Below are 15,941 nucleotides of genomic sequence, written 5' to 3'. Positions count from 1 at the left end.
TTACTGCCTTCACTGAGGTCTCTTAAAGTGTAATGACACTCTGGGCATGGAGTGGATTTTAGTAAGAGTGATGTGATTCACCTGCCCTCTGAATTCATGTGCAAGGTGTGAGCAGAAGCAGGAGCAATGGAGTGTGTGAGTGTGTGTGTGTGTATATGTGTGTGTGTGTGTGTTTAGAGCTAAAAGTAGTGACCAAGGACAGTTGAGCTGCTACAAGTTTCATTTTTTTTTATCTTCAGTAGAAACGTCCTATTGCCAAATCTTTGAGGAGGTAGCTAAGGCTTTTTCTAAGACGCAGACAAATGTTCCTCTTAGCTATCATGATAGATTTTTGACCAGGAAAGCCACTCTCAGAGACATGTGATGATTTGCCTGGGGTGATGTGTCTCCATTAGGAGATAAGTAGTGGTACTGATGCTGAAGTGATCTGGTGGAGGAATGGCCTGAGACAGAGATTGCAAACTACATAACAACCCAACATAATGACTCTGATCAACCCACAGGGGCTGTTGATGAGCATTCTGCAGGTAAACACAGACTAGCTCCAGAGAGAAGTGTCATGATCAACTTGTAATGCCTGTCTCAGGTGTGACAGGGCAAGTGGTGCCCTTGTGCCACGGTGTTGTCAATGGCACCATGGAACATACCAGAGAAAACACAATCAGATGGATCTGGCTTCTAATTAGATCCACCTTGGCAAAGTTGTGTGACTTTGAGCAAGTGACATAACCTCTCTAAGTTCAATGTCCTTCTCAAGAAATGGGGATACCTTCCTTGTGGAATTATTGTGAGGCTGAAGCAAGATAATGCATGCTTGCTCTTATTCTTGTAATTGTGGCTAGTAAAAGGTAACTAGTGTCAAGTGAGAAAGCTTTGGATTAGAGATGTGGTTCGGGCTTGCACATTCATTTTTCATGAATGTGAGAAGACTTATTGGAGACACCAAGTCATGGAGGGCTTCAATTCAGACTCAGCATAATAGAAGGCTTGATGATCATTTTCCCCAAACAGGGTCAAAGTCGTGTAAATAGGAGGCATACACATTCTTCAGATGGTGTTAATGACATAATCTTCATTAGGAAATGACTCCCTATGGTTATGAACTGTGCATAATTGTAGGTTTGGTGAGAGAAATCCAACCCCATCCTGGGGCATTGCCCGCATTAATCTCTTTCATCTACAGAACCAGAGCTCACTCTTTTTTTTTTTTTTTTTTTTTTTTGAGACAAAGTCTAGCTCTGTCACCCAGGCTGGAGTGCAGTGGCACAATCTTGGCTCACTGCAACCTCCACCTCTTGGGTTCAAGTGATTCTCCTACCTCAGCCTTCCGAGTAGCTGAGATTACAGACACCCACCACCACGCCCTGCTAATTTTTTGGTATTTTTAGTAGAGATGGGGTTTAATCATGTTGGCCAGGCTGGTCTTGAACTCCTGACCTCAGGTGATCTGCCCGCTTCAGCTTCCCAAAGTGCTGGGATTGCACGTGTGAGCCACTGCACCTGTACCCACTCTTCTTTTGAGTCTAAATCCCATTCTTCTCTATGAGCAGACATGAAAGCTACTGGCTTTCAGCCTGAGCCTCCAGAATTTGAAATATACGGGAAAGGAACCAGCAACTGGGCATCCAGGGGAAGGGGGATAGAATCAGAAATACTAAATGAGGCAGAGCTCTAAAGGCAAAGAAGATGTGGAAAGAGTGAAAGGGGAGAGTTAGGATGTTGGGAGAGGACCATGTGGTCACTCTCGGAGGGCTGTCTTCTTGGGATATAGAGTGTTCCAGTTGCATCTCCCTATTCCTTGATGGCCTTGGAACAGTTTCCTGAAGGCTGGAAACCTCACAGGGTTCACTGCATCATCTGTTCAGGGAAGGTGGGGAAGTGCCAGTCAGAAATGGTGGTGGGGAAACCAGTTCCCTGTCCATCCGAAGGACTTTGAAAAGCACCATCATTGTGAACCACCAGGCAGCCTGGAGCCTCAATTTCTGTTTACCTACCCAGCTGCAGAGAGAGTACAAAACAGTAAGGCTGGTTTTCTGTGAGGTCAGATATAAAACATTACATAGGATAGAGAAAAAGGACTTGTTTAGTTAGGTTTCTTTAACATTATATCATCATTATTTCCAGACTAAGGTGACCTCTCTACTGGCCAAAGGGACACACTGAATTGTGGATCATCTCTCTGGAGTTCCCTTGATATACAAATGATGCTCATTGGGGACATCTGAATGTATGCTTGAGGACATCAGAATTTCCCATTATCCATTTTATTGTTACACCCATAAAGATTCTCCCCTTAGGACTGAGGGAGGGCAGGTGCTTTCTTGGTTTCCAGAAAAGGATAAAGGCTTCTCATGGACCTTATAACCAGTAATAACAGAGTTATCTATATACTCAGGAAAATGACTAGGTGATGTCAAAGTGTATGTTAACTACATAACTCCCCATGTTTGTTATTCCCAGCCTGTTTCTCTGTAGTTCTCAGTAAAATCCTGGAAAGGAATTTACAGAGGATTGGTGAGGGGTATGGATGGGACAGAAGAAAGTGGAGGAACCTGGAGACCTGGCCCAAATTAAGGCTATCTAGGATGAAGTAAAAATCATGACAGAAGGCTTATAAGATGGAAGGATGGCAAGGTCCCTGTGTCCCATGGAAAGAGAGCAAGGGGTGCCATCTTGGGCCAGAGAAGATGTCTAAGCTGAGGACCCACAGTGATCACTCAAAAGTTTGACACCCCCCTCTCATATCAGCAAAGGACACCCTTTGTAAAAAGTTCTCAGCACAGACTCACCCCAGCAATCATACACAAGGAGTAGCCAGTCTTCTAAGTTTCCACTTTCTATTCCTGTCCTAACTGACCAATCTCTTTTGTAGCTGTTGTTTGAAAGGATTTTCAGTTGCACAACTTTCTGCACATGTTGTAATTTGAACATAAACAGTGAAAATCTTTGGAATGCTTCCCTTTCAAATGTTTGTGGTTGACAAATATCTTTTCAACTAACATTTTCCCACTTAAAATGTAGTAAACTATTTAGTTTCACATTAATCCAAAGTAAGAAGTGGCTTCTCCTCCTCTTGGTTTTCCTTTCGTCCTCTTCCTCCTCTTCTTTATCCTCCTCCTTTTCTTTCTCTGCCTCTCTCCTTTGATATATGAGATGGTTGGTTGACTTATCATGGCAGTGTGACATTAAATTTTTTTTCTCTTTGCAAATCCATTTTGAGCAAATCCTATGATAGGGATGGAGAGATCACATTTAGAAAAGCTTCTTAAAACCTTAAAGCTTTCATTTAGTAAATATGACAAGCACTGTAATTTATAGATGGGATTATAACATTCTAACCTCTATTTGGGCTCTGCTTTCCCAACTCTCAGGGGTAATGAGATGATGAATAAGTTAATATTTATTCAAGGATTTGAAGCAAAGCAATGTCTTAAATGCTTATGTATTTTGACCTCAAATTGCACTCCTACAGAATTCCCTGTAAGCAAGAAAAAGGAAGGAGGCAGTGGCAGAAACGACACAAAGCAACTATTTGTGCTTCTCTCAAACCTCCAGAACTCAGTAGAGGAGTAGGGGAAGTGCTTATATTTGACAATCCTTGTTCCAGAGTGATTCTTGCTGGACTTAAGTGAAGGGGCAGCATCGATAGATCTCTCCTCAGTGACTTCTAGTACTTTCTTTACCCCAACACCCAGAGCCTTCCTAATATCCAGTGGCTGTGACCCTTCACCAGCACTGTTCAGCATGGTGTGCTTCCTCCCAGGTTTAGACCCTAGTGCCAAAAATTTCTGTCTTTTGTCTTTGGAGCCCAGACAGATGACTGAGCAGCTACTCTGCAAATGCAGTTTGACCCAGGGGATTAATCGCTGCTAATATCTCAGGAAAGCTTTTTCAACAGTCATTACAGTAAGGAGAACAAATGCAGATACCAGAACAATAAAAACAGTAATAATAGTGTCAATCATCAAGTCCTGACCGTGGGTAAAGGTCTGTGTAAAGTCCAGATGTTATCTAATCAATCCTCACAGCAGTCCTGTGAGTGGGAATTATTATTATTCTCATATTACATGTCAGGCAGACAGGCTCAGGGAAGTTCACTAATTTGCCTAAAGTCACACAGCTAGGAAGCAGCTGAGTCAGGATACACACCACCAAGCCTCAGGCTTTCTAGGCTATGAGCTCCAGACTTGTAGGTGGCCCTCTCACCCTAAAAACCTGTACATGCCTTGCAAATAGAAGGGGATAAATAAATGTTTATTATCCAAATTGAATAGAATTATTTTCTATGTGATTTAGGGAAGTCTCAACCTTCCAAGGCAAACATTTTACATTTAACAGACAAGAAAAGAGTGACTATTGTTTGTATTTTAAGTCTTATCGCTGCATGGAGAGGAAGGTAGGGGGCTGAGGAGTTTCTCACTCATCAACTGAGAATTATTGAACAATAGTTTTTTTCCCCCTTCTGGCCTTTGAAGTCAGATCACATAAACAAGTACCTGACTGCATGAAAGGCTGTATTTGCTTGACAAATGTCTGAGAAAATCTTAACAGCACCAACTAAGTGATCAAGCATTTACTAAGCACACAGACTTAGGCAGAAACATGGATCTTGTCTTCTAGGAATTTGTAATCTGACAGAAACAAAGCAGGACCTCAGAGAACTTCCCATGTCTGGTTTCTTGTCAAGCACGCCCTTGGCCAGTACATGGAGGAAACTCTGGAAGTGAATTCTAAGGGGACTTAGGGCTCCTTGATGATAGTTTTAGGAGATGTTAGTTTCTGCTTCACTAGGTGAATTTCCCATTTCCCACTAGGTCAAGAATGTGAGCCAATTCCAAAGGAATGTGGTATTGTAATACATCTAGCAGGAAACTCACATAGACAGTTCCTTTTCCTTCTGGAGTTAGAAGATGAAATGAAAAGCGGAAATAGCCACACTGCAAGTTCCAAAGCTGTGCTTTTACAAGCAAAGTCTGATTCATAATATTGACTTGGTGCAATCTCATAGTATATGGACATGTCTCTAGGGTCTGTGTTTAACAAGCTCCCTCCCCGCTACAAAGCCCACCCTTAACCCTACTTTTTATCTCCTGGGGACCTCCCCAAAATCAGTTCAATGAAAATTAACATTTACTGGGGAAGGTCCTGAGACCCATGATATGCATGGGTGTGGAACATCAAAGATTAAAAAGATAATATTTCCCAGGAGCTAGAGACCAGCCTGGGCAACATGGCAAAGCCCTGTCTCTACAAAAAATATAAAGCAAACTAGCTGGGCATGGTGGTGCACACCTGTAGTCTTAACAACTAGGGAGGCTGAGGTGGGGGGATGGCTCGAGTCTGGGAGGTCAAGGCTGCAGAAAGCCATGATCACGCCATTGCACTCCAGCCTGGGCAACAGAACAAGGCCTTCTCTCAAAAAAAAAAAAAGAAAAAAAAATATAAGAAAGACTTTTCAGCTGTAAAGATCTTTTATCCCCACTGCTGCCAGGGAAAGCTCCCCAGAGCAGGAAGCCCAGAAGGCCTCTTGTTTGTGGTTCTTTCTCTGCAGCACATGGATGCACTTTGAAATTCACAGCAAGGTAGACCATGGGGCTGCTTAACCCTACTTTGCAGGCACTCTGTATATTGGTCAGAGACTGAGTATGTCCCTCCTCAGACCGGACACAAAGTGAACTAAAGGAAGATTCATAAACTTATTTTGCTTAAAGATTGAGTGGACACTGTGGAGCAATGCAGATCAGGGCTGGGAATTTTTATTTCATCTGATTGACTTGTCCCTTGTACCACACTGAGGAGGGCCATGCAGCTTAAAGGGTTCTGAATTCATCTTATTTCTGACTTTTCCTTCTTCGCATCCTTCATCTTGTAGTTCTGTGTCCCACCTCTCTCTCCCCCTCACCTCCCTCCCATTTTCCAACATGAGGGAAATTATTTCTTTTGGTTTATAAAACTCTACACTTCAGATTTGGGGCAAAAGCTAGTTGGCTCTACCTCGGTTTTGCTAATTCCAAAAGGCTGGTGGATGAGCTGAGATCTCCTGGTGGGGTGAAGGAAGAAGGCAGCTCAATGTTTGCATCAGTGTGGTGGAAAATTGGGATTCATCTGATTTCCTAATGAATTACAGAAGAGCACGCATAACCTCACCACAGTTGAGTATTTGTTTCTTTCTGAGGATAATACAGGTTAGTTGCAAGTGAGCAAAGCTTTTCCTTACCCTTAAGATAACTTCAGCCTTATTTCTTATGCAATAATATTTCTGCTATTATTTTTCTAATTCTCTTCTTGCTCCTTTCTGCTCACATTGTAGGGATGAACCCACGCTCTGAGAATGGTCTTTATGGCTGTTTGAACCAGTGACATCTGCTTTATATAGATACTTCATGATCTTTGCTCCATAGAAAGTGTGTGTTTGTGTGTGTGTGTGTGTGTGTGTGTGTGTGTGTGTAGGTTTATCCTGCCACTGTTTAGTAGACTGCTTTAAGTGTTACATGAGCTATATACAGCTATGGGTAGGTGGAATAAAGAGAGATTCGGACTAGGCAATTAGGAAAGTTTTCTTAGCCTTTGAGGGCAGTATTGGAATAGGGCCTTAAGAAGAAGTAGGATTTTATCAGAAAGAGTTAAGTTGGTAAATAGTTGGCAGAGATGAGAGTACTTAGGAAACCAGGCAGGAAAATACTCAGACTTAATAATAACAACCATTTATACTTATTGAGAACTCACTATGTGCTGGGGACAGATGTAAGCAATTTATATGTTTAAACTTACTTAACTTTCATGAAAATCAGTGACAAAACTTTCACTGTAATTAGGGAAGGCACTAATTGGACTGGACACAGAAGAGGCAGGGGAGTATATTAAGCAGTGAGGTGAGAAAGATGGGCTGGAACCATATCCCAGAATAACTTGTCCTCTTATAGATCCTGTACTTTTTCTTCCTGTAAGAATCAATTGACTTTTTGTATTTTGGGTTTTGTTTTATTAACGAGGTAGTGATGTGATTGACATATGATGGAGAACAATCACATTGGTTGCCATATGCAGGATGGTTCAGAGAGGAGAGAAACGAGTACAAAAGTCCAAATGGAAGGGTCAGAACAGAGTAAGCAGTAGAGAGAAGGAAAGGAGGGAAAGGAGATCAGAAACATAACCCATTGTCCAACTCAGGTATTGATTCAACATGCACTTACTAAGAGATGATTATGCTAGTTGCTGTATACTGTGCAAAGTACCTGAAAATTAGATTATGAGGACTTGGCGTGGAGTAGAAGTTAAAATGAGAAGCTGAAGATGATTAGTTTCGAGTCTCAAAGTATCAAAAGGAGGTGACAACATTATCCAGGAGTGGAACATAAGAAAAATAAGAAACCTGAAAAATAATATTTACACACCTTCATTCTACTATGGCTTTTTTGTATACAATGCCTTAATTTTTTTTTTTTTTTAAATCATGTTCCTCTCTTCACCAAAAAAAAAAAAAAAGAAAGAAAAAAAATGGGGCCAGGGAAGATTCCCTATTGTTTACTTTCGATTTGGCCTTGAAGACCCCATGTTCTGGCTCCAACCTACTTTTCCCATTCTACCTATTTTTCTCTACTGCCCTACAAGAATCCTTTATTCCAGCCAGGCAAATCTATTTATCCTTTCCTGACACAAACATCATGCTTTTGTATATAGTGATTCTTATCTCTACCTAAAAGTAATCCACCCTGAAATCCTACATTAATGTCCTATTTTCTCCCTTAATATTTTGGAGAACCTGTTATGGTCTGAATATTGGTTCAAAATTTATATGTTGAAACCTAATTTCCAGTGCAACAGTATTAAAGAGATGGAGTCTTTAGGAGGCGATTAGGTCATGAGCTCAAAAATGGGATGAGTGCACTTACCAAAGAAACTCCGTGGCACTTGTTCACCCTTTCTGTCGTGTGAGGTCCCAGCAAGAAGGAGCCATCTATGAAGTAGATAATGAGTCCTCACTAGACACCAAATCTACTAGTGCCTTGATTTTAGACTTCCCAGCCTTCAGAACTGTGGGTAATAAATTTCTGTTTGTTTATTTATTTATTTATAGACAGGGTCTTGCTCTGTCACCTAGGCTGGTGTGCAATGGCACAATCACAGCTCACTGCAGCCTCAAACTCCTGGGCTCAAGTGATCCTCCCGCCTTGGTCTCCCAAAGTGTTTGGATTGCAGGTGTGAGCCACCGTGTCAGGCCAAATTTATGTTCTTTGGGTTTGGAGTCTGTCTCAGTCTGGTCCTGCTACTATAATAAAATATTTGAGAACAGGAACAGACTAAAACAGACCCTAAAGCCTACGCCTTGCCTGACCATTTCAACCTCAAAGATGGCTCTCTCCTTTATAGGTGCCTTATTTCCTCCAATGGCCCTAAGAGTGTCTTATGGAAAGATCATGCCTGCTTAATATGTCTGTGGTTCTCAGGATCCCTAGCGCAGTACCGAATGTTCCGTAGTCCCTCAAGTGTTCATCAGTTTCCTAACTGGGGTGAGTTTGTAAGACTTTACATGCTCCACCATGTTGCAGCAGAGACAGCCGGGATGAAGTTCCCCTTCCTTTTGGAGCTTGGCTGTTCAGATTCCTTTGAATGCAGTGATGCTTTATGGGTGCATATAGCTCTGACTTTGCAAATCACCTCCAGAAACAGCACTGTGTTTATCAGCAATCACGCAACACACGTTCCTCAGATAAGGACATAGCTTACTTCCCGCTTTAGTGTTTAAAGATACAGTTCATTGGTTGCTGGTATTATCTTCTAAAAGAAAGAGAATTAAGTACTTTTCTCCAAACACTCTGGACAAACTTGAGAATATATGAATTTCGCATGTTTCCTGTCCTTCAGCCCAATATTCTAAATGTGATATCTGCTAATAAAAGTATTCAATGTTTACAAAGAAAAACGGTGTCTTAGATTACCTCAAACAGTGAATAATCGTGCTTATACAATTATTCATTGTTTTTGAGAAAACATTGAGATTTGAGAAAAACATGTCCTTCTAAACATAAGTTTCAAAATTAATTGCAACTGAGCAGAAAACCCACAGTAACTTGAACTTTTAATTTTAAATGTTGTAATTGGGTGCCTAGTGCTGAGAAGAAAATTGGTTTGTGGCTTTCAGGGAAATCACAGAGTATATTACATATTTAAATTTTTTAAGCCCCAAGAAGACTGTTTTTATAAAAACAGATAATGTATTGATTTGTGTTTAGTTGTTAAAATGAAATAGAATTGAATAAATCTCAGATAGCTTGAATACCTTGAAATAGTCAAGATATTTACGTATATTATATTTATAACTACGTTTTTATGTATAAATGCTTTACGTAAAGGTGTGTGTGTGTGTGTGTGTGTGTGTGTAAATGTGTTGATGTGTATTTATTATCTGATTTGAACATATTATATACCAAATAGCTGCATGGCATCAGGGATGCACAAATTATGTATTCATAAACCACATGTCAGAATTGCCTTAGACATAGACAAGATTGAACTGAACTTCATTTTGCTATTTGTGGGACATCCAATGCCTTTGGGGGTGACAAACATCAAATTGAAGATGGGGGTTATATCTAGAGTGGGGTGGGAGGGAAACAATATTGAAGAAACACAGGGAGCTTCAAATATATTGATAATGTGTTTCTTAGGCTGGCTGGTGTGTGTACCTGGAAATTTATTGTATTTATCCTTTTATTTTTTTGCATGACTTAAATGCTTTTTAATAAAACTTTTAAATGCCCAATTCCTTCTTCAGAATTTTGTGAATTCATAGGTGTCTTATGCTTTTGTGCTTACCTCTGATTCCAGCATTCTGCTTCTACTGCATGTGTGCTGTGTGAGAAAACTTTCCACCATGCTGATTGGGTTGTCTTCTCTCCACAGTGGCTCAGTGGAGACATGAAATTGAAATTCAGCACTTTTCCTTGGTTTAAACACAGGCTGATCCCACAAATGCAGTAGTATTAAAGTTTGCAGATATAGAAGCATTTATATCTTAAAAATGAAAGCAACTTAAAATTTGCTGCTGCCGCTCAGAAAGAGCTTCTGGCCTTTCTACCTCTAGGGATGTTATCACCAGCACTCCTGGCCTAGGCAGCATCCTGAACTTTCCCATCCTGTGTTGGCTCTGTTTCATCTTCCTCATTCTTTCCCTTCCAAGTTGCATTCAAGAACTCCAAATTCTTTTTGCTCTATTATTGAAGAACAATTTTGGTCTTTCCCCTCTCAATTCCTGACACCACATTATAGGCATTGAGTAAATATTTGTGGAAGATGAATACAACTCAGTTCCTGGCCCACTTGCTCATGTCCAAAACCCACAAATCTCCTCAAAGTTTCTATTATATAAATAGCAAAGGCCTGGAAGAAGTCCTGACGTTTCTTTTTATAGGTGCTAATCCCTTCAGAAGGAATTGCAGTTTCGAGTAGTAATTTTTCATTTTCTCATATGTTGAGGCCCCAACCTCCAGAACCTTAGGCTGTGACTATATTTGGAGATTGGGCCTTTGAAGAGGTGATTAAGTTAAAATGAAGACATGAGGGTGGGCCCTAATCCAATCTGACTGGTGTCCAAGAAGAGGAGATTAGGATACACAGAGAAACAGCAGGAGTGTGCAGAGACACAGAGTAAATACCATGTGAGGTCACAGCAAGAGGAAAGCCATCTGCAAGCCAAGGGGAGAAGCATCAGAGGAGTCCAATGCTATAGGTACCTAGATCTTGGACTTCCAGATTCCAGAATTGTGAGACAATAAATTTCTGTAGTGTAAGCCATTTAGTCTGCAGCATTTGTTATGGCAGCCTGAGCTAAGACACAAAGTCTTGGATTAGGAGAACAGGATAGAATTACAAAGAGAACAGTAGTCTTTGGTAAAACCAAAAGGCACATCATTCTTTGAGAAAGTGCAGTTTTAAAGTTAAGATTTTAAAAAGAGGAAGTTAATCCTGGATGACTAAAATCTACTTAATCAGATTATTTGGTGGGGTGGGGCGGGGGAGCAAGATTTAAAAACAGGGTAGGTAAAAATTTTAGTGAGGAAAAGAAACAGGCTGCAATAAAATTTTTAAAAGTATGCATTCAAATTATTTGGTATGCATTTGTACATAACAATTTTAGAATTTTCTCTGACAATGCTTGGACGCTTGGCATAAAATATTGTAGAACTGGAATCGGGGAAATTGTTACGGATGGAAAATGGAGGGATATAAGGGATTCTGGAATGTAAGATATCCCCACTGAACCAAGACTGAAAAGACTGACTCTGGCTTCCATTTGGTAGAAGGCAATTTAAGTGAGAAGGAGGCCAATAGTGTGAGAGATAGAATCAGAATTGAGACACTGAAGTCATGATGAGGCCAAAGAGGAATTTTGGTCAATGAGACAAAATTCACTGAAGCAGACAGTAAGGTGATTACAGAGAAAATACATTGAACTTGAAATCTGGTTGAGGTTTTGGGTATTGTCTTAGTTTTACTTCTATTTGTCATATTAACTGAAAGGATTTGGATAGGTATAAATCCAATCAACAGACTTAAAATCTGGTTGAGGTTTTTGGGATTATCTTAGTTTTACTTCTACTTGTCACGTTAGGTGAAAGGATTTGGCTAGGTATAAACCCAGTCCAATCCTTCTCCACCCAACTGATTTAATAATCAGTTGGTAGCCATCTGGTAATTAAATCATGAACACTCAAAGTGGAGGGTAATCTGACATGATAGCTATTCTCCTTTTTATCTTGGTTGATCCAGTATTTGGTATCAGAATTTGCTTTATTTCAAAAATTGTGCTTTAATGATTATAGTCAACTGCATTAATAAGACTTTTAAAGTTTTAAAAATAGGAGAAGAGTTATGAGATAATCTTAACTAATAGGAAAATTTTGAAATATTATCCAGAGCATGTAAGTTTCCCCTGATCTAAGGGAAATGTCACTGACAAAAGCAATTTTTTCATTCCAAAAATACTGATGGAGGGCCATGTGCAAGACGTTGTGCTGGGTCCTGTGGAGACAAAAATAGGAAAAGTCCTGCCCTCAAGTTCTCACATGCAGAAATATGAGGAACAGATACCTATGAGACAGGTGTCTCATGCCTGTAATCCCAGCACTTTGGGAGGCCAAGGTGGGTGGATCACCTGAGGTCAGGAGTTTGAGACCAGCCTGACCAACATGGCAAAACCCTGTCTCTACTAAAAATACAAAAATTAACCGGGCTTGGTGGTGGGTGCCTGTAGTCTCAACTATTCAGGAGGCTGAGGCAGGAGAATCACTTGAAGTCGGGAGGCAGAGGTTACAGTGAGCTGAGATCGCTTGGTTGCATTCCAGCCTGGGTAACAGAGCGGGAATCCGTCTCAAAAAAAAAAAAAAAAGAAAAAGAAAGAAAGAAATATTTTAATAAGCTCCCAGCTACCATTCAACCATGGTTGATTGGTCCATGAATGATCACGTGATCCAAATGAGACCAGATTCCTTTTCTTGAGAATTTTGGCTACATGATGTAAAACTGGGATCCAGGTTTTATACCTTGGAGAGAAAGCTGCTCTGCACTGAGAAAATTATATTAACAAAGAGAAAGAATCACAGATGAGATAGAGAGGATTTGGTAGTGTGCATATCCCCATTTTCCAGGAATTTGAGAGCTGTCTGCTCCTTGCCATTGTAGGCTTAGTCATCTTTTTCTTTTGTTGTTTCTTTTTTCTCTTTTCTTTTTTTTTTTTTTTGAGACAGGGTCTTGTTCTGTCACCCAGGCTGGAGTGCAATGGTGCGATCTCAGCTCACTGCAGCCTTGACCTCACAGGCTCAACCTCCCATCTCAGACTCTTGAATAGTTGGGACTACAGGTGTGTGCCACCAGGCCCAGATAATTTTAAAAAATTATTTCCAGAGATGATGTCTCACTATGTTGCCCAGGTTGGTCTCCAACTCCTGGGCTCAAGGAATCCTTCTGCCTCAGCTTTCCAAAGTGCTAGGATTATAGGCATGGGCCCCCCACCTGGCCTAGTCAACCCTTCATTAGACTATAACTCAGAATCCTTCCTTTAATTTTCATTTTAAGACTTAAGCTGATTTGAGTTGTATTCTACCACTTGCATGCAAGAAACTTCTAATAAATATAGTGAAATGAGATATATACTAAAAAAAATTTATAGCCCCAAATCTGCTATAAAATAGGCCCCTAATTCTGCAGAGCTTCAAAGGAGAGGTAGATGGTACCCGGGTTATTAAGGGTTATCAAGAAATGATTTTACACACGAGCAACATGTAGCTTCCCCCTTCTCCCTTATTCAACATCAGAAGCATCTGGCAGGCCCCATCCAGTGCCTGTCTTTCCTTTTTCCTTTGCTCGAGATGCCAAGGGTTTGACTTGTTTTCCACTTCTCATTAGAGCTGATGTCATCCTATCTTGTCCCTTGGAGTTGTCCTGTCTGGTTTCAGGATAGGACACAGTCTTACTCCTGTCTCTCTGCCTTATTGCCCCCGAAGAATAAAGCACAGCAAACACCCTTTTGCTCTGTTTTCTTCTACGAGTTTATGAGCTACTAAAGAAAACATACAGTAGTAAACTGGCAACATGGAAAGTGCTGTGCCAGGTGTCTCCTGTTCAACCCTCCAGATGCTCTCTCTACCCTTCTCCACCCAGCTCTCTGCTTGGGAGGATAACCTATATGGAGCATGTTAATGAGTTTGCTTACTGTTTGGCTTCTGGTTGAATTTTTTAATGAGAAGAGAATGAGGTCAGCGTATTTATTCCTGTGGCTTCTCCCCTACAGTGTCCCTAAGGGTGGCTGCTTCCCTTGGCTGATGTTCACAGCTCCTCTTGACAGGAGAGATGGATAAATCGTGATCCATGAACCAAACCCAGCCCACCATGTTTTGCATGGCCTGTCAGCTACATGCATTTTTAAGTGGTTGATAAAAATTGTTTAATTTTTATTTATTTTTATTTTTTGAGACAGAGTCTTGCTCTGTCACCCAGGCTGGAGTGCAGTGGCGCAGTGTCAACTCACTGCAACCTCCACCTCACGTGGTACACGAAAATTGCATAAAATTCAAATTCCAGTATCTGTAAATAAAGTTTACACTCATACGTTTACATATTGTCTATGGCTGCTTTTGTGTTACCATGGCAGAGCTGAGCAGTCGAGAGGGAAACAAAGCCTGCAAAGACTGAAATATTTACTCTCCTGTCCTTGACAGAAAAAGTTTGCTGACTCCTGCTCTATGACTCTCTCCTTCCAGTTCTAGTAATCTTCCCTCCATCCCTTTCTCTTCTCTTCAAGTGTGTATGGGAGTGGAGAGAATTGTGGAAGCCCTGGAGTATTGAACTGTATTCTGCGTTTTCCCAACCCTCTGCTCCTATCTTTTTTTTGTTTTTGAGACGGAGTCTTGCTCAGTTGCCAGGCTGGAGTGCTGTGGAGTGATCTTGGCTCACTGCAACCTCCGCCTGCCGGGTTCAAGCGATTCTCCTGCCTCACCTCCCGAGTAGCTGGGACTAGAGGCGCGCGCCACCACACGCAGCGAATTTTTGTATTTTTAGTAGAGACGGGGTTTCACCATGTTGGCCAAGATGGTCTTGATCTCTTGACCTGGTGATCTGCCCGCCTCAGCCTCCCAAAGTGCTGGGATTACAGGCGTGAGCCACCGCACCCGGCCTCTGCTTGTATCTTTTAAAATACAGTTGTCCCTTTATGAAACTCTTCTCAGATTATCCTAATCTGAGTATGCCATCTGTTAGTTGCTGAGACTCTGACTGATACATTTTACAAAGACAGGACCTTAAAAAGACAGGAGTTAAGGTGTCTATTTAGTCGGTAGCTGGGGGCTTAGTTGGATTTCAGTTCTCTTTTTTGTTTTTGTTTTTGTTTTTTCTCTGAGACAGAATCTCGCTCTGTCACCCAGGCTGGAGTGCAGTGGTGCGATCTCGGCTCACTGCAAGCTCCGCCTCCCGGGTTCACGCCATTCTCCTGCCTCAGCCTCCCGAGTAGCTGGGACTACAGGCGCCTGCCACCACGCCTGGCTAATTTTTTGTATTTTTTCAGTAGAGACGGGGTTTCACCGTGTTAGCCAGGATGGTCTCAATCTCCTGACCTCGTGATCCACCCGCCTTGGCCTCCCAAAGTGCTGGGATTACAGGCGCCAGCCACCGCGCCCAGCCCAGTTCTCATTTTTATTGCAAATGGTAGAAGTCATGGAACTTCTCCTTTAAAGTCATTTTTTTCTTTCCCAGAAAGGCCACATGGAAAGCAGTGCTCCTCTTCTTCACTGGATGTGATCATTTTTGCATAAGAGATTACTGAATCATCTTGCAATAACATAAGACTTGTCTGCCTGCCAAAATAATTTGCTCTGCTAAGGATGGCAGAGCAAGGAAAGGAGGAAGCACCCAGGTCCTTGACAAGGTCAGTTAGTCGCTGATTCATCTTTGCCTTCTTGTTATAGGAAATAACAAATTGCCATTTCTTTAGCCATTTCTAGTGGAGTCTTCTGTTAACTTCAGTAGAAAGTATCCTGACTGATACAGACTCTAATTTATAATTCATCCTTGTCTTCTTTCCTTCTGAGGTGTATAGACATTTTTATACAGTAATTATGACACAGCTGAAAGGTCTTTTTTCCCTTCTTCTCCAGGAATGCCTCTGCTGTATGTCATGAAGGAATGGCATGATTCCTTCCACTCTCATGCCTTTAAGATTTAGTTCATTGAACTTTAGAACTGAAAATGGTCTTACAGGGAATCTTGTCCTGGGCTTTGTAAGCTGAGCTCCTAAGAGTCATCACAGTTACCCAATGCAGTGGGAGTGAGCAGGGTCCAGCAGATCTCCTCAGCCAGAGGAGTGTGTGTATTGTCCTTACTTTTTGGAGCATTTTATAGTAGCTGATTAAAGTCTTTCTCAAACAATTCCAACATCTGTGTCATTATAG

The 15,941-nt window shown here is 41.3% G+C and overlaps 2 long non-coding RNA genes across 3 annotated transcripts in view; one reads left to right on the top strand and one right to left on the bottom strand.

The window, feature by feature from the left end:
* Nucleotides 1–15,941, top strand: part of LINC00607 (long intergenic non-protein coding RNA 607) — a 231,974-nt gene that overhangs the window by 127,071 nt on the left and 88,962 nt on the right. The gene's annotated exons all lie outside the window — the stretch shown is intronic.
* LOC102724861 (uncharacterized) overlaps nt 2,080–15,941 on the bottom strand; it is a 168,179-nt gene continuing 154,317 nt past the window's right edge. For both annotated transcript variants that reach the window (NR_187737.1, NR_187736.1), the window contains one exon: nt 2,080–3,226. This is a non-coding gene — a long non-coding RNA (uncharacterized LOC102724861). The remainder of the gene's footprint in view (nt 3,227–15,941) is intronic.

This window comes from Homo sapiens, chromosome 2 (genome assembly GCF_000001405.40).
Source record: "Homo sapiens chromosome 2, GRCh38.p14 Primary Assembly".
NCBI lineage: Eukaryota > Metazoa > Chordata > Mammalia > Primates > Hominidae > Homo > Homo sapiens.
Note: the sequence above shows the minus strand (reverse complement) of the source record. Positions and strands in the feature narration are given on the sequence as shown.